The 20,870-nt window shown below is 41.2% G+C and overlaps 1 protein-coding gene and 1 long non-coding RNA gene across 6 annotated transcripts in view, besides 3 other annotated features; one reads left to right on the top strand and one right to left on the bottom strand.

Annotated features, from left to right (window-relative positions):
- Nucleotides 1–678: 678 nt before the first annotated feature.
- On the bottom strand, nt 679–13,437 carry LOC107986571 (uncharacterized). 2 transcript variants are annotated; one of them, XR_001743986.3, is made up of 2 exons: nt 13,158–13,437; nt 679–2,171 (listed from the first exon to the last, which is right to left on the bottom strand). It is a non-coding gene; the product is annotated as an uncharacterized LOC107986571 (long non-coding RNA). The 2 variants fall into 2 exon arrangements; XR_007059463.1 differs by lacking the exon at nt 679–2,171 and adding an exon at nt 11,451–12,007 and having other exon boundaries at nt 13,158–13,247.
- Nucleotides 12,223–12,322: an enhancer, noted in NCBI's record as "active region_24040". NCBI's record gives its function as "activates an Ori minimal core promoter by ATAC-STARR-seq in GM12878 lymphoblastoid cells {active_cell/tissue: GM12878}" and the evidence as "EXISTENCE:reporter gene assay evidence [ECO:0000049][PMID:35858748]".
- Nucleotides 12,483–12,752: a silencer, noted in NCBI's record as "silent region_16940". NCBI's record gives its function as "represses an Ori minimal core promoter by ATAC-STARR-seq in GM12878 lymphoblastoid cells {active_cell/tissue: GM12878}" and the evidence as "EXISTENCE:reporter gene assay evidence [ECO:0000049][PMID:35858748]".
- Nucleotides 12,690–20,870, top strand: part of MCUR1 (mitochondrial calcium uniporter regulator 1) — a 28,001-nt gene continuing 19,820 nt past the window's right edge. For 3 of the 4 annotated variants that reach the window (XR_007059329.1, NM_001031713.4, XM_011514802.2), the window contains exons 1-2: nt 12,690–13,232; nt 20,203–20,322. Coding sequence is in view for 3 of the 4 variants with exons in the window: in NM_001031713.4 (NP_001026883.1) it covers nt 12,818–13,232; nt 20,203–20,322 (535 nt within the window). In the remaining variant the exon portion in view is untranslated. Of the gene's footprint in view, nt 13,476–20,202; nt 20,323–20,870 lie in introns of all 4 variants that reach the window. The other variant, XM_047419249.1, reaches the window with a different exon arrangement.
- Nucleotides 12,833–13,502: a silencer, noted in NCBI's record as "silent region_16939". NCBI's record gives its function as "represses an Ori minimal core promoter by ATAC-STARR-seq in GM12878 lymphoblastoid cells {active_cell/tissue: GM12878}" and the evidence as "EXISTENCE:reporter gene assay evidence [ECO:0000049][PMID:35858748]".

Below are 20,870 nucleotides of genomic sequence, written 5' to 3'. Positions count from 1 at the left end.
AGAAAGAAGGGAGGGGAGGAAGGGCACTTCCTCTTGAAGCAGTGAGAAATCCCCTCTAGTGGGGAATGGCAGGAAAAGGTACAAGAAGAGCGAGGAGTAATACACAATCTGAAGCAGTTTTCTGCATATGCTATAATTATTCCCTGAAACTTCAGAAACATCTGTTAATTGAAGTAGCCTTGCATTAGCATTGTTTTGCAGAAGGAGTAAAACGTGGAAGTAGGCCAGGTGTGGTGGCTCACACCTATAATCCCAGCACTTTGGGAGGCTGACGCGGGTGCATCACTTGAGGTCAGGAGTTCGAGACCAGCTTGGCCAACATGGTGAAACCCTGTTTCTACTAAAAAATACAAAAATTAACCGGGCATGGTGGTGCATGCCTGTAATCCCAGCTACTCAGGAGGCTGAGGCAGAGAGTCACTTCCACCCAGGAGGCAGAGGTTGCAGTGAGCCGAGATCGCACCATGGCACTCAGCCTAGGTGACAGAGCAAGACTCTGTCTCAAAAAAAACAATAATAATAATCAGTGGCAGTACTTTCAAAAATCTACACGGGGATGAGATGACAGGTTCCAGCTGCAAACCCACCTGTGTTGTAGATAGATTCTGTATTTTCCCCAAATACATCGAGTCACTAGAACCTTTGGAGGTAGAGGAAGAGGAACGAGATCACTTAGGATGGAGGATAAAGCCTTTTTATTGGATAATACTGAAGAGGATGTTAGGGGAAAGGTAAAGCACTTAAAGTCACTTGGGTTTCAGGGGTTTATTAAAAATTGGATGATATTCTAGACCAGCACTGTCCAATACATATATAGCCACAAACATCAGCCATATGTTTAATTGTAAACTTTCTGGTAGGTACATTTTAAAAAGTAAAAAGAAATACATAAAATTACTTTTAACAATTCCTATGATTTGAATATGTTCCCCAAAGTTTATGTATCAGAAACTTTATCCCCAATGCAGCAATGTTGGTGGTACAGCCTAATAAGTGCCGATTAGGTCATGAAGGCTCTGCCCTTGTGAGTGGATTAATGTTGTTATTGAGGGAGTAAGTTAGTTATCTCAAGAGAGGGCTTGTTAGAAAAATGAGTTTGGCCCTCTATTTCTCTCCTACACATTCTCTTGCTCTCCTGCCTTCTGCCATGGGATGATGAAGCAAGAAGGCCATCACCAGATGCCACCCCTTGACCTTGGACTCCAGCCTCCAGAATTGTAAACTAACCAGTGTCAGACATTCTGTTATAGCAGCACAAAATGGACTAAGAAAATAATATAGTTTATTTAATCTAACAAAATTTTTTTTATCATGTAACCAATGTTTAAAAATACATGAGATATTTCATATTCTCTTTTTGCACTAAGACTTTGAAATCCATTTGGTAATTTATACTTACAGCTATCTCAGTTTGAGCTAGCCACATTTGAAGTGCTCAATAACACCAAACCTTACCTCTTTAAGTTTTTTTTTTAAGTTTAACAATTTTTCATGGCAATTTGCCTAAAATATAGTACTATAAACTTGGGTGTCTCCCCTTTTTTGCAACTTTTTCTCTATTATAAAAATTTTCTCCCTTTTTTGCAGCTTCTCTATTATTTTCTACTATGGTCGTTTGTAGAAAATTTGAAAAATACAGAAAAGTACAAAGAAAGAAATTTAATCCATCCATAAACCACCTTTCAGAAATAACCACTGCAAAAATTTTAATATATGGTTCTAAATTTAAATATACATACATATATATCTCAAATTAAGATATAGTGTATGAAATATACAGTATTATTTGCTTCCTTTTTCACTTTTAAAAAAGTTATGTGATGCCCAAACTGAGGTCATCTTTCTCTGCACATTCAGAAGAATCAATACAGTTTTCAGCATGCCGCAGATAGCATTATGAATCCTTCAGTCCCTAGGGTTAAATAAATGTTATCTATTCCCAATCCTTTGTTATGGATGTCTCTTCTGTCACTGTAAGTTTATGGGGTTTTTTCTTCTCCAAATTATGAGAGCTCATCTTTTTCTCTTCGTATACAATGTTTTCACCTAATTCATTTCTCACGTGCATTACCGTAACAGTAGCTTCTTTGGTCTCCCTGTGTCCAATTTCTTCCATTTCAAAACATCCTGGTTATTGATGCAAGACTAATCTTCAAAATGTCATTTTTGACCTGTTGGTAGGATGAAGACAGAAGAGATGGGAGATTAAGCAGCCAGCTTTGAATCTCTGAAATAGAAATACACACTTTAGGGAAATCGGTGCTTCCAATAGGAATATAATTACCCCTCCATATCCTCCCCCTTCACATCCAACCCATCATAGAAAAGGAAAGTCTGACACAAGATACTTATTAAAACCTCAAAAAGATATTAGAGACCAGTTTCTCTAAGAAAGGATACTGGAGGCCGGGTGCAGTGGCTCACGCCTGTAATCCCAGCACTTTGGGAGGCCAACGCAGGCAGATCACAAGGTCAGGAGTTTGAGACCAGCCTGGCCAACATGGTGAAACCCCGTCTCTACTAAAGATATGAAAAATTAGCCATGCGTGGTGGTGCACCCCTGTAATCCCAGCTACTTGGGAGGCTGATGCAGGAGAATCGCTTGAACCCAGGAGGCGGAAGTTGCAGTGAGCCGAGATTGCGCCATTGCATTCTAGCCTGGGCAACAGGGCAAGACTCCATCTCAAAAAAAAAAAAAAAAAAAGAAAGGATACTGGAAATTACAGCTACCTTTTCCCCACCAATGCATAGATACAGAAAAGCTGACAGAGCACTAGAACTATGCCCTCCAGCCACAGTCCAGAAGGCAAAACAAATGGGTCTTGCACAAAAATGAGAAAGGATTTGAGGAGAAATTACACCCAAGTAAATTGAAAGTCTGGATAAACTCCCCTACATTAAACATTAAGAAGATGAAAACAAATACTGTCTGCATTATGAAAATCTATTACTTTTTTAAAAGGAGGACAAAGAAACAACCAGACTAAGAAAAAAAAGATATGGAACCCAGTGTTGAAGAAAATATAACTCAAAGGAGAGAAGGAAATTCTCTATAACGGCTTCTCTATAAAGCAACTAAAAAAATATGAATTCTATAAATAAGAACTTAAAGACAAGATGAAATACAAAACAACAACAGGAAAAGAGAAACTTACAATTCTAAGTAAACAGATTAAAGACTAAAAGAATACTCATCATAACTCATAGATTCTGCTTCTTATATATGACATTACTCACAGATAAAAGAGACCCAGGCTCTGGGCCCTGCTCTTTAGAGGACCGAAGATATCACAAAGACCAGGAAGATAAATTCATTAAAGAACACGTGGACATCTCTGATGTTCTGTGCTGGCACAGCAAAACCCACAACCCTAAACCTACTCTCATAATCCACACCCTCAGGCCCCAAGGAAAGGTTTCTTCTGATGTACCGAAGAATGCCAAACGCCATGAAGGTTTTTGCGCCTTTGCCAGTATCAGAGATGGACACTGCTCAGGAGAATGAGAAAGATTTGAGCTGAAGAATTTAAGAAGGATAATAGACCAATTCACTTGCTTGTCAGATACATAGTCTCAGCATGAATCCCATAGATTCTTACTGAAGAAAGTATTATTTCCCAGAAGGCCAAGCATTCATTCTCTCATGTCTTTTTGTATCTAATTCATTGGTTTTGAAGGTACTAAAATATTAAAGCATATTCACAACTGTTACACATGGCATCTGAGGAGCATTTTGCAACATTAAACAACTCATATTACATATTATTCTTAAAGGTGTATGTACATACAGACAAGAAATAACTTATGTGAAGTGTAGTTCCAATTATTTACATTGGTAACTATGTGGACTTTGAACATTAACACTACAAATAGTTTTACAATGTAAAAATCTTTTACTATTACTGTATTAAACTTTTAAAATACTAAATAAAATATCAACTTTATGTAATTTTGATTTTTGTTCAATGTAATTATTATTTATTTTTATTTTTATTTTTATTTGCGACAGAGTGACTCTGTTGCCCAGGCTGGAGTGCAGTGGCACAATCTCAGCTCACTGCAACCTCCACCTCCCGGGTTCAAGCCATTCTCCTGCCTCTGCCTCCCAAGTAGCTGGGATTACAGGAGCCCACCACCATATCTGGCTAATTTTTGTACTTTTAGTGGAGACAGGGTTTCACCATCTTGGGCAGGCTGGTCTCAAACTCCTGACCCATCAGGTGATCTGCCTGCCTCACCCTCCCAAAGTGCTGGGATTACAGGCATGAGCCACTGCACCCAGGCTGTTTTGTCTTTTGATAGAGAAATTTCAGGCAGGGTGCAGTGGCTCACACCTGTCATCCCAGTGCTTTGGGAGGCTTAGGTGGGAGGATTGTTTGAGGCTGAGAGATCAAGAGACCCTTCTCTACAAAAAAATTCAAAAAATTAGCCTGGTATGGTGGTATGTGCCTGTATAGTCCCAGCTACTTGGGAGGCTGACATGGGAGAATTGCTTGAACCCAGGAGCTCAAGGCTGCAGTAAGCTATGATTGTGCCGCTGCATTCCAGCCTGGTTGACAGAGGAAGACTCTGTCTCTTAAAAAAAAAAAGTTTTTAAATTTCAATTTTAGAAGAAAAATATAAAAATCATTAAAACAATTTAAAAATTTAAATTTTTACATCCTTTTTGTTTTTGATGAAAATTATTCAAATTTTGTTCTTTTTAAATTTTTAATCATATATATATATATAATTTTTTTTTTTGAGACGGTGTCTCGCTCTGTCGCCAGGCTTCAGAGTGCAGTGGCGCACGGCTCAGTGCAACCTCTAGTTTGAGTGATTCTCCTACCTCAGCCTCCTGAGTAGCTGGGATTACAGGCACATGCCACCACACCCAGCTAATTTTTTGTATTTGTAGTAGAGATGGGGTTTCACCATGTTGGCCAGGATGGTCTTGACCTCCTGACCTCATGATCCTCCTGCCTTGGCCTCCCAAAGTGCTGGGATTAGAGGCATGAGCCACAGCGCCCAGCCTCTTCTATATATTTTTTTAAAGATTACGTGAAAATGTGAAAAATGGCTGGACGCAGTGGCTCACACCTGTAATCCCAGCACTTTGGGAGGCCTATGCAGGCAGATTACGAGGTAAGGAGATCGAGACCATCCTGGCCAACACAGTGAAACCCCATCTCTACTAAAAATACAAAACATTAGCCGGGCGTGGTGGCGGGCGCCTATAGTCCCTGCTACTTGGGAGGCTGAGGCAGGAGAATGGCTTGAACCCGGGAGGTGGAGCTTGCAGTGAGCCGAGATTGTGCCACTGCATTCCAGCCTGGGTAACAGAGTGAAACTCAGTCTCAAAAAAAAAAAAAAAAAAAGAAAATGTAAAAAAGTTCTTAAAAAACAAATTATATGAAAATCTTCATTATACCAACATAATGAGTGATTTTGCTAAAATGAAAGAAAAATTAATGTTATGAATAGACAAAAAGCATATGAACTATAAAAGTTTTTACTTTAGTACACATCTAACCATTGCTGGCCCATGAACAGAACACTCAAATATGCCCAATTATAATTACATGCATCACCTTTAATATTTTGTCAAATTTCAGTCATGTAAAAACCATGGCTTTTACACATATTGTCTATTTTGTTAGTATGAAAGTATATTTGTCAAAGAAGAAGGATAGAGCATATTTTTTAATTTAATAATTTCTTAGTTTGGTTTATAACTTCTAAATATTTAGATATATGGAGGATGGCCCTGCATTTATTTTCTTGCTCTTATTCCTACAAATATCAGGAGCAGCACTGCTTATCAGTAAGGAACAAAATTGATATAGCAAAAAATTAAATTATTCCCAAGAAGGAAAGTCTTGAGACAAATAAAGTGAGCATAAGGAAATAAAACCCAAAAAGTCGTTTAAGAAAAATGAATAGATATGGAAAATAAAAGTGACCCAGGTCCAATGGAGAAATCTGCTGAACACTTACCTTAGCCAAGTGCTCAAATTTAGTGCAATGAATGATGGGAAAGCCTGAGACAGTATGCATCCCGATGTGATGAACTGAACACTACACACTAGCTATTCTTGCAAAAAATGGGTAATCTGAATCTAATCATAAGCAAATAATTGGACAAATTCGAATTGTGGGACACTTCACAAGACAACTTGTCTGGACTTCTCAAAAATGTCATTGTCATAAAACCTCCCTCCCCACCCTTCCCAGAAAACAACTTAAAGATTGCTCTAGATTAAAGAAAATGAAAGACATCATTTTTAAAAAGTGACCCAATATATAGGTAATTGTCGCTTGAAGTAAAAATTCAACGAAGCAACAGAAAAATTATCAAAAATATGTGAAAACAAAGCCAGGCACAGTGGCTCACACCTGTAATCCCAGCACTTTGGGAGGCCAGAGTGGGTACATTCCTTGAGCTCAGGAGTTCAAGACAAGTCAGGGCAACATAGAAAGACCCCCAACTCTATTAAAATATATTTATATATATGTAATATAATAATATTATATATTATATGTAAATATATATATAATATAATATATATTATATGTAAATATATATAATATAATATTATATATTATATGTAAATATATATATAAAGAAAACATTCTCTAAAAGAAAAATGGAACCCACAGATTGAAAAGAAAGTTCTCCTTTAAGTAAGATTTGTACTAAATGAAATGCTTAAACGGGAGAAGTTAGTTATATCTTGACCTTCCTTAGGTCCTCTTGGTTACCATTATATGGTCCAGTGGCAATTGTATTGTCACACGCCTTTCTTACTCTACTTTACACATTAGTTTCTGATTTTTCCTCCCTTCTATCTTTTTTCTCATCTCATGACACTGGCGGAGTGGCTAACATAGTTAACTATGTGTAAAATAAGAGTAAGTAGGCTCAGAATGAGTGCCTAATAGACTTTATTGTGGCATAAAGAGCTCAGGTTTGGTGAAGGTTACTGATAAAACTCAGAGGCATTCTTTACTTCCAGTTTCAGGGCTATGTTCTTAAATGCAGATGTTATCAGGAGTCTGACTTTCATACAAGGGAAGAGAAAGGATCAGGGAGAATCCCTTCTATTTCTCTCAATTTCCCATCTTAGTACACATTAGAAAAAACTTTTATCAAGACTTTCACCTCCTGAGGAGCATCCTCGTTTCCTCATCCTTGACTTTTGACCTACGTATATTATTATAACTGATGTGAGTGTCTTGTAGGCAGTATATAACTAGGCTGTGCTTTCTTCTTTTTTTAATCCATTCTGACATTCTCTCTGTTTTAATTGGCATGTTGAGACCAAAGGTTGGCCAACTATGGCCCATGGGCCAAATCCAACCCACCACCTGTTTTTGAACAGAACAATATGTAAAAGAGATTGCTTATGGTTCACAAAGCCGAATATTTACTATATGGCTTTTTAAAAACATTCCTCAACCACTGATTTAGACCATTTACACTTAATGTAATTATTGATATGTTTAGATTGATGCCTAATATTTTATTGTTTGCTTTTAGTTTTTATCTCTGTTTTTTGTTCTTCTATTTCTCCTTTCCTATCTCCTTTTGGGTTACTTGAACATTTTTTAATATTACATTTTATCTATTATGTGTTTTGACTTGATCATAGCTCACTGCAGCCTCAAACTCTTGGGCTCAAGTGATTCTCCCACCTCAGCCCCCTGAGTAGCTAGGACTATAAGCATTCACCACCATGTCTGGCTTTCTTTTTTTTTTTTTTTTTTTTTTTTTTGTAGAGGTGGGGTCTCACTATGTTTCCTAGGCTAGTCTTGAATTCCTGACCTCAAGCCATCCTCCCACCTCAGCCTCCCAAAGTATTGGGATTACAGGCATGAGCCTCTGTGCCCAACCTATATCTCTTTGTACAGTATCTTTATGGGTTGCTCTAGGGATTACAGTAGACATATTTAACTTTTTCTAACTCTACTTAGAATCAGTATTTTACCACTGTAAGTGCAATATGAAAACTTCACTACCATATAGGTCTCTTTATCCTTGCCCTTTTATTTTGTAGTTATTATATACCACATCTATAAACATTAAAAACTTCACCATTGTTTGAATTTTTGCTTTCTATCATTTAACATATTTTAAAGAACTAAAGAGGAGAAGAATATTATACTTATCTTGGTATTTGCCATTTCTGTTGCTCTTCCTTTATTCCTAATGCTCCAAGTTTCCTTTTGGTATCATTTCCCTACTATATGGTGAATTTCCTTTAGCAATTCTTTTAGTGCAAGCTTACTAAAAACAACTCCTCTTAGTTTTCCTTCATCTGAGGATGTCTTTATTTCATCACTTCATTACTGAAGGATATTTTTGCTAGTAATAGAACTATGGGTTGACAGTTCAAGCTAGGGGAGCTCATACATTGGAAAAAATACTAAACTAAACATCAGTTCAGTGGTACTTTGATTTTTGTCTTCTTCACTGATGTGCCTGCTATTATTTACTTTTCAGAGTCCTCAAATAGTGGCTCTATGCATTCTGTCCAGCTTTTATGCCTGCATTCAGGTGGAAAGACAGGGTGGAGTGTGCTTATTCCATTTTACCCAGAAGGAGAATCCTTTCTTCACCCTTTAACACTCTTCAATTACGGAGAATAGTAGTTTGATTAGTGGAAGTTGACATTCCCCCATCAGTGTTTACTAGTAAGAGTATCAGTATGCTAAAGGTCACATCCAGGAATGTTCCAACTCCTTTGTTCTCTCTTTGACCTGCTTGCACCGGGGACAATGAGCCCTTGACCTTTCTGTTACTACCTGCTAAAACAGACCCAGTAGATCTTTCAGGGATAGCTCTGGCCATCTTCCATCTCTTTTCTCCTGATGACACCTAGAATATATAAGGCCACCTAAACTTCTCACAGATGGTGGCTAAGTCAGAGTCTGCTCTGTGAATCCAGCTTTACTCATGGGAGGTCCCTAAGTCTAGATACAGAGAGAGAGTAAGATGGCCCCACTTTGGCCCCAGATCCAAGTATATTCACCAATCCAACTTTGTCATAAAGTCCAACTTTGTCATGGTTCACATGGGGGTTGTCTGGCTCCTGCCTGATCCATTAATTAGTTGATACTTCTTCTTCTTCATTGGCCATTAGATTCCTGTATCTAGTCTCTCTATACATAGACAGAAGTCTAACATGTCTAGATTATCCTAATGTACACTAATGTATCCGGGATAGGAATCAGAAGCCCTATCCCAGCTGGTTTAAGTAAAAGCAACTTATTGGATTACATAAATAAAATGCCAATTTCAGCCTAAGCTAGAATCAGACGCTCAAAAGGACCCGTCTCTTCATTTCTCAGTCTTCTTTTCTTCATAAGGGCTTTAGTCTTAGGCCACATGGTAGCCCCAGGAGCTCATGGTTCAAATCATCCTATACCTAGACATCACAATAAAATAAGACGACCTCTTCCCAATAGTTCCTATTAAGAACCCTAGAATTGGGCCAGGCGTGGTGGCTCACACGTGTAATCCCAGCAATTTGGGAGGCTGAGGCAGGCAGGTCACTTGAGGTCAGGAGTTTGAGACTAGCCTGGCCAACATGGTGAAACCCCGTCTCTACTAAAAAATACAAAAATTAGCTGGGCATGGTGGTGCTTGCTTGTAATCCCAGTTACGTGGGAGGCTGAGACAGGAGAATCGCTTGAACCCAGGAGGTGGAGGTTGCAATGAGCCAAGATTGAGCCACCACACTCCAGCCTGGGCAACAGAGTGAGACTCCATCTCAAATAAACAAACAAAAAAAGAATCCTAGAATTGAAGCTTTTTTTTTTTAGATGGAATTTCACTCTTGTTGCCCAGGCTGGAGTGCAATGGTGCAATCTCAGCTCACCGCAACCTCCACCTCCTGGGTTCAAGCAGTCCTCCTGTCTCAGCCTCCCAAGTAGCGGGGATTACAGGCATGTGCCACCACACCCAGCTAATTTTGTATTTTTAGTAGAGACGGGGTTTCTCTAGACTGGTCTCCAACTCCCGACCTCAAGTGATCCGCCCTCCTTGGCCTCCCAAAGTGCTGGGATTACAGGCGTGAGCCACCGCGCCCGGCTGCTCATTAACTCTGATTGGGTGACATGCCCATGCCTGTGGTCTGCAGAGCGATCAGTCTCTCCAAACCGCATGGACTGAGAGCAGAGAAGAGCCACTGCCCATGGAAAACTAGGGTGCTGAGACCAAAAGAAAGGGAATGCTTTGGAAAATAAAACAACAGGTGTCACATCCAAGGAAAAGTGGATGCTATCCAACCTGTAGTTAGAACTGACATTCATTATACTCCTATCATAGGCCAGGCACTGTGCTAAGTGCTTTACATATGTTATTGTATTCAATATGGCTGGTAATAGTAATACATGAAAAGTTAGTCAACATCATTAGGCATCAGGGAAATGTTATGTTAAAAATCACAATAAGGTACCATTTTATGAGGACTGAAAATATCAAAATTTGGCAAGGATGTGGAACAACCGAAACGCTCATCTATTGCTAAGAGTGTGAAAGGGTGCAGTCGCTTTGGAAAAACAATTCAGCAGTGTCTAAAGTTAAGCTACCATATGATTCAGCAATTTGACCCAGATACTTTCCCCAACAGGGATAAAAATTATGTCCACACAAGGTCTTATACAAGAATGTTCATAACGCCCTATGCATAATAGCCAAAAACTATAAGCAAAGCAAATGGCCATTAATAGAATGGATGACCGCTTGTGGTATGGTCATACAATGGAATACTATTCAACAATTAAAAGCAACTAATTACTGATACAACAGCATGGATGAATCTCATTGATATTGAAGTCAGACGCAAAGCAGAAGAAAGACACAAGGCAATGCATATTGTAGGTCTCCATTTACATGAAGTTCAAAAAAAGACAAAACTAATCTATGGTCATTGAAATTTGAAAATAGTTGGCCGGGCGCGGTGGCTCACGCCTGTAATCCTAGCACGTTGGGAGGCCGAGGCGGGCAGATCACAAGGTGAGGAGTTCGAGACCAGCTTGGCCAATATGGTGAAACCCCGTCTCTACTAAAAATACAAAAATTAGCCAGGCGTGGTGGCAGACACCTGTAATCCCAGCTACTCAGGAGGCTGAGGCAGGAGAATTGCTTGAACCCGGGAGGCAGAGGACACAGTGAGCTGAGACTGCACCACTGCACTCCAGCCTGGGTGACAGAGCAAGACTCCGTCTCAAAAAAAAAAAGAGAAAATAGTTGCCTTGGGGTGGTGGTGGATTGTCTGGAAAACTGGCACAAAATAACTTTCTGGAGCAATGAAAATGTTCTAGATCTTGACTGGGTGGTATATACAACTGCTAAATGTCATCAAGTTGCTAAATGACATTTATCAACTGCTAAATGTCACCTAAGTCTGTGGAATTTACTGTATGCAAATTATACCTCAATTTTTAAAAATTACAAAGGACTAACATTAAAGTTTGTGCCACAGTTTAATCGTTCCTCTAATGTTGTGCACTATTTTCCCATTTTTTCACAATCACAAATTATGATACAATGACTATCTTTTGTGCATATGTGAAATTACCAATATTAAGCATTTTGACCCATAAAAATGACAAGTTTGTATAGTCAAACCTAGTAGATATTTAATATTTTGGATTATTCCCATTATCCCCATTTTTAGTTAGGTGACTTGAGAAAAGTTTACAAATTTTTGTTGATACTCATTGCTAAACTGCTTTTTCTACCAATTTTATAAATGTATACTCCTTTTACAAAAGTGTCTTAGGTTGGTGCAAAAGTAATTGCGGTTTTTGCCATTACTTGCAATGGCAAAAGCCGCAACTACTTTTGCACCAACCTATGACTTGAATCCTGTTTTTCAGTTCTTCAAATTTTGATAGACACTTATCTTGCACATCCATATGCACGCTCCTCTCTTCCCAGCACTTTGTACATCTCTCATGGCTCATAACACATTCTTCCATCACGTATGTGTACACATATGGCTGTATAGGAAAACAGCTTCTGGAGGATAAGAACAATTTGTTTTGCGGTTTTTTATTTTTAATAAAATCTCCTAGCTTGGTGCCTTATGCATTTCATTTATTTATTCAACTAACATCTTCCAAATTCACATAAGGGACCAGTTATCTGTGAATGGTGTAACAGGCCTTCAAAAAGTCCACGAAACTAAACATTACCAGTTTCAAATATACCCGACAGGTCTCATTTTAACATTCATGCCCCACGTTTTAAGTTCCCAGATTGCTACCTTCCCATGTTTTTGGTGCTCTAATCTGGAAACAAAAACTCTGAAAATTTAGTTTTGAATGTATTATGTGAGGGCCTTTCCCTGGGCCCTGCTAATAATTCCTTAAAATGCTCCCCAGAACCACATGTTTGGGGACTTAGGATAATCAGTGAAATCTAGGGCAGCCTGTCGGTCTGAGACTTTTCACAGGACTCTGAAGGGCACCGGGGTAATTCCTTTTTAAGGACAGCAGTGCAGTGAAAATGCAAATCGTGACAGCAACAAGCTCCTTCCAGTTCCGGAGTGCCCGCAGGCTCCTCCCGGTCGCCGCCGTCGCCTAGCGAATGGGGTGGGGGCTCGCACGGTCCCCGCATCTCGGAGCGCCACGGCGGGCTCCTGCCGCCCCGCCCCACCCCACCCCCGGCGCGCGTCCCGAGCCCCGCCCGCGCGCCCGGCAGGAAAGGGCGGTCCTGCGCTGTGGCCCACGCTCGCTCCCGCTGTCGGACTCTGGGCCTGGACCGCGCGTGGCCGGCGCCAAAAGCGAGAGGCATGAGCGCGCGCCCGGGCCAGTGAACTGCTCGGGGATGGACTGCGGCTCGGTCGGCGGCCAGAGGACCCAGCGCCTGCCCGGCCGCCAGCGGCTTCTCTTCTTGCCCGTGGGCCTCAGCGGAAGACCGGGCGGCAGCGAAACCTCAGCACGCCGCTGCCTCTCTGCGCTCTCCGACGGTCTGGGGGCGCTGCGCCCTCGCGCCCCGGCGGCCCGCGGCGGCGTGTCACGTGCCTCACCGCTGCTCCTCCTCCTGCTAGTGCCCTCCCCGCGCTTGGCCGCCGCAGCCCCGCGCCGGCAGCTCGGGGACTGGGAGCGCTCGCGCCTCGGGTATGCCGCACCCCCGGCCGGGCGCAGCAGCGCGTGGAGGTGCTCACCGGGCGTCGCCGCTGCCGCCGGCGCCCTTCCCCAGTACCACGGCCCGGCGCCTGCACTCGTTTCCTGCAGGAGAGGTGAGGCCCGGGCGGGAGAGGAGAGGGGGCTCGTCTCGCGGGGTTGGACGGCGGGGCGGGGATCTCAGCTACAGCCTCCCCGAGGAAAGGCCCGGCAGGCCGGAGGGCGGGTCCTCCAAGGCCACCGGCATCTGCCCGGAGCGTGGGTCGAAGGTCCGGGCCCGCCCTGCTCGGCCGCGGTGGCGGGGCTTAGCCCAGAAGAGACGAATTCCTGGGAATCCCGGGCGCTAAAGTTGGAGGGAGGTGCGTGCTGGGGCGGGGAGTTGGTGCCCGCCCACTCCTAGGGTCTGCTTTTGGGCGCCGCCTTCCAGGAGTTCTGTTTGGCAGCGCCCAGCCTGTTGGGCGTTCAAGGGGAAGGGGTGTGTATGTTTGAGCAGCAAAGCTCTGGGAAATGAAGGGATTGCTTTACAGTTTGATTTCAAATTCTGATGGAATCATTAATTCGTGGAGTCCTAGCGTCTGCCCTGTCCCTGGCGCTTTTCTAGATGTGTGAGATATATCAGTCCACAAAATCTTCCCTCTGGAGCTTAATTCTAGCAGAGCAGACGCAGTAAATATGTGTGTGTGGATATACGTATGCATAATTGATGTATATATAATTTATATATACAAATAATTTTTATATATTCGTAATTCGATGCCTGGTATAGAAAAATAGGATAAGGCTTGGGAAGTGGAATGGGTCTCCAGTTGTGAATTTAAATAGGGTGATCAGAATCGATTTCATTGAGAAGGTAGCATTTAATTAGAGTCATGCATCTCTTCAGGACAGTCGCCTACTGAGAAATGAGTCATTAGGCGACTTCTTCCTTGTGTGAATATTGTAGAGTGTGCTTACACAAACCTGGATGCTACAGCCTACTACACACCTAGACTATCAGGTAGAGGCTAGTGCTCCTAGGCTACAAACCTGAACAGCATGTTACCGTACTGAATACTAGAGGCAATCTGAACACAATGGTATTTGCGCATCTAAATGTAGAAAAGGTAGAGTAAAAATATGTATTATAGTCTCATAGACCACTGTCGTGTGTGCCCCTCTGTCCTGGGCTGAAAGGTAGTTGTGGGGCTCATGACTATTTAAAGGAGGTGAGAGAGATCACTGCCCTGGAGATGAGGAAAGTAAATAGAATCAATTTATTAGATAGCATATTGTTGATTAAAGAAAAAAATCATTTCTGATAATCAACAGACTTGGCAAAATTATCACTTTGGGCAGTCTATACATATTCATTAGTAGCCATCACTAACTACACATTTTTCATATTTTCTTCAACAGATAGGCCCACTAAATGTTGACCATATCTATAATTTAAGAATATCATTGGCTGGGGTAAAAACTGATTAGTAGAGCAATAAAGTGAAGGAAACTTTATATACAGAGAGTGGGGAATGAGTAGTGAACTCGGTGTCACTGTCCTTCAGTAATTAGGAGTCGGAGATGAGTTTGGTCTTTATTCTGTATTTTGCCTTTTGTTGCGCTTTTTCTGACAAGCTAGTAATTTCCAATTTGTTTTTCTCTCAATGCAAGAGTATAGGGCAAAAAGAGAGTGTTCTTTCTCACGGATTTGCTGACCAATCGGTAAGGTGGTACTGTTGTTTTAGTGTCAGCTATCTCATTCTTCAGTCATCATAAAAAATGAGTATGGATGCATAAAAACAGAAGAGAGCAGAGACACAGTTAAGGAAGCATGTATGCCCATTAACCAGCCAATGAGCGTTTCCCAACCATTTGTTTGCTTGGTGCCTGAGGTTCTCGGTTGAGCTACTTAAGGATGTCATGAGTAGGAAGTTTGTATTTGGTTTCCTCATCCTGTCCAAGGCTACCTTTGGGCCTCTATTGTAATTGTGGGTTTTTAATATTCTCTTGATATGCTGAAGGTCCCCAGAAAGGGGAATTGCATGTTACACGTTGACACAGCTCAGTTGGCTCGCTTCCTTATGATCAGTGAGGAGTCTGGGAGTTGGCGGTGTCCTCAGGTACTGCCCTTTGACAGAAGGCCAAGAGGGCATTTCCTTCCCTCATCAGGGGTTGGAGTGACCAATGGAAAGTGGCCAGCCCTTCTGTCGACCTTTCAGAGGCAGGATTTCTTGGAAATAAGCTTGCTGTTTCTGGTTCCAATCTTTTTGAAAAAGAACAACAATAACAAAAAAACTGTAGTATCCAAATTGGCGTTACAAAGTAGTCATGTGATTGTTTTGTTTATGTGGGGGTGGGGGTGAGGAGGTTATGTTTTAAATACATGAATGATTATTTTCTTACTAGAAACAAGGAATTTAGGTCTAGAGTAACCCTGTCACTCTTCACAAGTCATTCCAGACTCAGGTGTTTTCGAGCTCCCTGACACATGGGGCAGTCCAGTAGAGTTCTGGGGCAGGTGAGGTGGTCCTTAGGAGGTCCCCTGGAGAAGTGCTTTCATTCCTTCACTCCCACTGTTTCTCAGGCTAGGTCTCTTCTGTGTTGGGCAGACATCCTGGGTCTCTTCTCATGGAGGCCAGTTTTAGTCTCAGGACTGGAAATAAACTAAAAAAGAGGTACCAGATTTAAGTGAGCTCGTTTATGTGAAAAGGGAAGAACTGAGGAGAAAGGAATTCATCTCAAATTTTCCCTCTAGACAGTTTCATAATCCAGATTGTAGAAGTCATTACAGTTCAATTACCAAAAAAAAAAAATTATTCCTAGCCTGCTGTATGCCAGGCCCCTTGCCAGATGCTAAAGATAAAAAATGAGCAAGACTGGCTGCTCCTGGGCAGCTTGGACAAATAGATGATACAGATGAGGAAATAATGTAGTAAGTGCTACGATGAGCTATCTGTACTGAGCTGAGAACACAGGTATGGGCTCAATAAAGGTTGCTCCCTTAGCTGGGTGGAGGAAGCAGAGAGAACCATAAAGTGTAAAAAAGAAAATGCCACACCTGGAACATAATGTATACTCAGTAAATTGGCAATTTAATGAAGAAGGGTAAAAAGAATGCTTAAAGTTTAACGATTGGGAAAGGGGAGCAAGCCATGCTTAAGCATGCAATTGCAGGAAATAGAATAGCTTAGGTTGCTAGAAAGAAAGCTGAAAGGATAAGCGTGGTCATAAATAGCAAGGGCTTTGTATGCCAGGTCAAGGACCTCCTGTCATAGCACAGTGGTTCTTTGAATCTCAGGGCCCAGTTTTACCAACAAACACAAACACACATAAGTCATTGCACTTTATATTGTGTCAGTCTGCAAATGGTTCTTGATACAGATATGGATTATTGCATCTCTTGCACTCATCTGGATGCTTACAGTGACCACAGCTACCCTCCCCTTCCCAAGCTGTGAGTAGGCTGGGAACAACTCCCATAGGCTGCAGCAAAGCGTCACATTTGTAGGGTTCAGTCCATTTTTTTGTTTTGTTTACTCTCGATTTCATTATAGGGTAATCGGGGTGAAGGACTGAGAGTGGAAGCTGATCAGCTGGAGCATCTTTCTGGTCATTCAGAGGCCTGCTGGGGAAACCTTTGACCTTTGAGTTGGCAGGTGACCCTTCTTGCTCCTACCAGACTTCTACAACACCAGACCTCAGACTGGTGCCAGTTAACGGCAAAATTAGAAAAGTAATGACAAATATGTAGCAAGATTTTCATATACTAAGTTGATTAAATGGAAGTTCTTTTGATTGTTCATCTTTTTTTTTCTTTTGGTGTCATAATGTCTTTTTTAGTACAATATTTAATAGTAGTAGTAAGCAGCTATATTTAAAAGTTCTTTCATGACACAATTAAAAATTGGCAACTCAAATATTGTTTATTTATTTTTAATTAATTTTTTTTTTTGAGATGAAGTCTCGCTGTGTCACCTAGGCTGTAGTGCAGTGGTGCGATCTTGGCTCACTGCAACCTCCGCCTCCCAGGTTCAAGCAATTCTCTTGCCTCAGCCTCCCGAGTAGCTGGGATTACAGGTGCCTGCCACCACGCATGGCTAATTTTTGTATTTTTAGTAGATACGGGGTTTCACCATCTTGGCCAGGCTGATCGTGAATGCCTGACCTCATGATCCATCTGCCTCGGCCTCCCAAAGTGCTGGGATTACAGGCGTGAGCCACCACGCCCGGCCTTTAAATATTTTTTTTTTCGATACAGGATCTTGCTTTGTCACCCAGGCTGGAGTGCAGTGGTGCAATCATAGCTCACTGCAGCCTCAAACTCCTGGGCTCAAGCCATCCTCCTGCCTCAGCCTCCCAAGTAGCTGGGAGTAGCTGGGAATACAGGCACACACCACCACACTCGGCTAATTTTTTTTTTTTTTTTTGAGAGGAGGTCTTGCAGTGTTGCCCAGGTTGGTCTCGAATACCTGGCCTCAAGTGATCTTCCCACCTTGGCCTCTCAAAGTATTGGAATTACAACCATGAACTAGTTCACCTGACCCAATTAAAAAAAAAAAGATTTTAGCAGTTCATAAAATCCAAAAGCCAACTGTACCATATACTATACCACCTCCCTCAGATGAGTACCTTGAAACAAGAAGTTTACAGAATGGATTGGATCTGTGGCTAAATGCACAAAAACTTATAGAAAAGGTAATGTAAAAATTGTTAGAACATAGCTCTCTAAAGATAGGCTTTTGCAAAGACATTACAAGAAAAGAATGCTATTGACCGATATCTCTTATGATTAAAGATGAGAAAATCCTTAACAAAATACTAGCAAGCCAAATCCAGCAACTTATAAAAAGTACAATGTACTTAAAGTATAATGTACTTTAAAGTATAATGTTCCTAAATAAATGGAAAGACATCCATGTTCATTGATCTGAATACTTAATATTAAGGTGGCAGTACTTTTCAAACTGATCTACAAATGTAACACATCCCTATCAAAATCCCAAGTGGTTTTCTTGTAGAAATTGACACACAGATCCTAAAATTCATAGGGAAATACAAGAAAACAAGAATAGCTAAACAATCTTGGCAAACAACAGAGTTTATAACCCACACCTTGGGAGGCTGAGGTCGAGTCTGTAGTGAGCTATGCTTGCACCACTGCATTCCATCCTGGGCAATAGAGCGAGACCCTGTCTTAAAAAAACGTCAAGAGCAACAACAAAAAAAACACTTTCTGATGTCAAACTTAAAACAAACTTAAAAGTAATCAAGAAAGTGTGGCACTGGCGTAAGGACAAACACATAGATCAATGCATTAGAATGGAGAGCCCAGACACAAGGCCTCATGCTTACAGCCCACTGATTTTCAACAAGAGTGACAAGACATTTCAGTGGAGGGAATGGTGCTGGGACAACTAGATATCTACATGGAGAAGAATGAAGCTGAACCCACTACCACACACCATTTAAAACACTAATCCAAAATGAGGAAAAGACCTCAATGTAAGAGCTAAAACTATAAAACTCTTAGAAGACATGGGTGTAAATTTTCATGTACTTGGATTACCTAGTGGTTTCTTAGGTATGTTATCAAAAGCACAAGCAACAAAAGAAAAAAGCACAGGCAACAAAAGAAAAAACAGATCAATTGGACTTCATCAAAAGTAAACTTCTGTGCTTCAAAAGACAGTATCGAAAAGTGAAAAGACAACCGACAGAATGGGAGAAAATATTTTCAAATCATAATCAGATAAGGAGCTTGTATCTAGAATATATGAAGAACTCTTACAGCTCAGTAATAGAAAGACAACCCTATTAAAAATGGGCAAAGGACTTTGCCTTAGTCTGTTTTGTGCTGCTATAAGGAGATACCACAGACTGGTACTTTATAAAGAAAAGAGACACATTTCTTGCAATTCTGGAGGCTAGGAAGTTCAAGATTGAGGGGACCACATCTGGTCAGGCCCTTCGTGCTGCTTCATAACATGGCAGAAGGCAGAACAGCACACGTGTCGGGGAAGGGGTGGCAAACTCATTCTTTTATCAGAAACCTACCCCCAGGATAGCAGCATTAATCCATTCATGAACAGAGCCCTCCTGATAGCCTAGTCATCATCCCTTAAAGGACCCACCTCTCAACACTGTTGCTTTGGGGATTAAGTTTTCAACACATAAACTTTGGGAAACACGTTCAAACCATAGCTGACTTGAATACACATTTCTCCAAAGAAGATATCCAAATGGCCAACAAGCCCATAAAAAATGCTCAGCATCATTAGTCATCAGGGAAATGCTGATTAAAACCACAGTGAGATACCACTTTACGCCCAATAGGATGACTATAATTTTTTAAAAACCCAGATAATAGCAAGGGTTGGTGAGGATGTGGAGAAATTGAGACCCTCGTGCGCTGCTAGAAGGAGTGTAAAATGGTATAGCTGCTTTGGAAAACAGTCTGGCAGTTGCTAAAACAAACATGGAGTTATCATATGATCCAGCAATTCTACTCCTAAGTATATTCTGAAGATCATTGAAAACAACGTCCATGTAATTCGTAATCGCTAAGAAGTAGAAACAGCTCAAGCATCCTTCAACTAGTAAATGGATACACAAAATTTACTGTAGCTATACAATGGAGGAGTATTCAGCAATACAAAGAAATAAAAGTACTGACGTGCTACAACACGGATGACCCTTGAAAACATGCTAAGTGAAAGAAGCCAGTCACAAAAGACTATATATATTATATGATTCCATTTCTATGAAATCTTCAGAGTAGGTAAACAAAAGAGACAGCAAATAGACCAGTGCTTGTCCTGGGTATGGTTGGGGGCAGTTGAGAAGGGCTGGGGGAATTGGAAGGTGACAGCTAAGGGGTACAATTTGTCTTGACAGTGATGAAAGTATTCTAAATTTGATTGTGGGATGGTAGCACAACTCTATGCCAAAACCTATTGAACTGTATGCTTGAAATTGGGTGAATTGTATATCTCAACGAAGCTGTTATAAAGTACCACGAAGGCTTTGGGGTATGCCTTATTTTCTCTGGGTGCTGAGTTGCTTTTGTTTTGCATGAAGTCTGTTTTGAGCTTACTGTCCTTTCCACCCTAGAGCTAAGCTTGTCTGCTGGATCCCTGCAGCTGGAGCGCAAAAGGAGAGATTTCACCTCTTCTGGGAGCAGGAAACTCTACTTCGACACTCATGCCTTAGTGTGCTTACTGGAAGACAATGGTAATCCTCTGTCATTCGTCATTTAGTGCCTTAGAAAAACACTTTAAATTATGACTTCTCTTATGGTTTCATTTAATTTCTCATGTTCCTCTTTGACTTCTATTTTTTATTTGTGTTTAATTAATTAATTTATTTAGAGACAGGCTCTGGCTCTGTCACCCAGGCTGGATTGCAGTGGCGCAGTCTTGGTTCACTGTAACCTGCCTCCCAGGCTCAAGCCATCCTCCCACCTCAGCCTCCCGAGTAGCTGGGACTACAGGCACACACCACCATGTCTGGCTGATTTTTGTATCTCTTTGACTTTTAGGCCTATGGGCAATCTTTTAATTAATCTCCATTTTTTTAAGTCCTCATTTTTTGCTGGAGGACATTTTTGCTTCATCAATAGAATGGAGACTTTTCTCACACATTGTCTCTTTGTCCAAGTGAAGTGTATTTCTGTAACATCACCATGGAAGTACAGTGTTATAGGTAAAAATTTAGACACAAGTCAGCAAAGCTGAGGAATGATTCCTATGACAACAGTGTCTGAAGCACAGAAGTGATAG

Source organism: Homo sapiens, chromosome 6, assembly GCF_000001405.40.
Source record: "Homo sapiens chromosome 6, GRCh38.p14 Primary Assembly".
In the NCBI taxonomy this organism is placed as follows: domain Eukaryota; kingdom Metazoa; phylum Chordata; class Mammalia; order Primates; family Hominidae; genus Homo; species Homo sapiens.
This window is presented reverse-complemented; position numbering and strand designations above follow the sequence as displayed.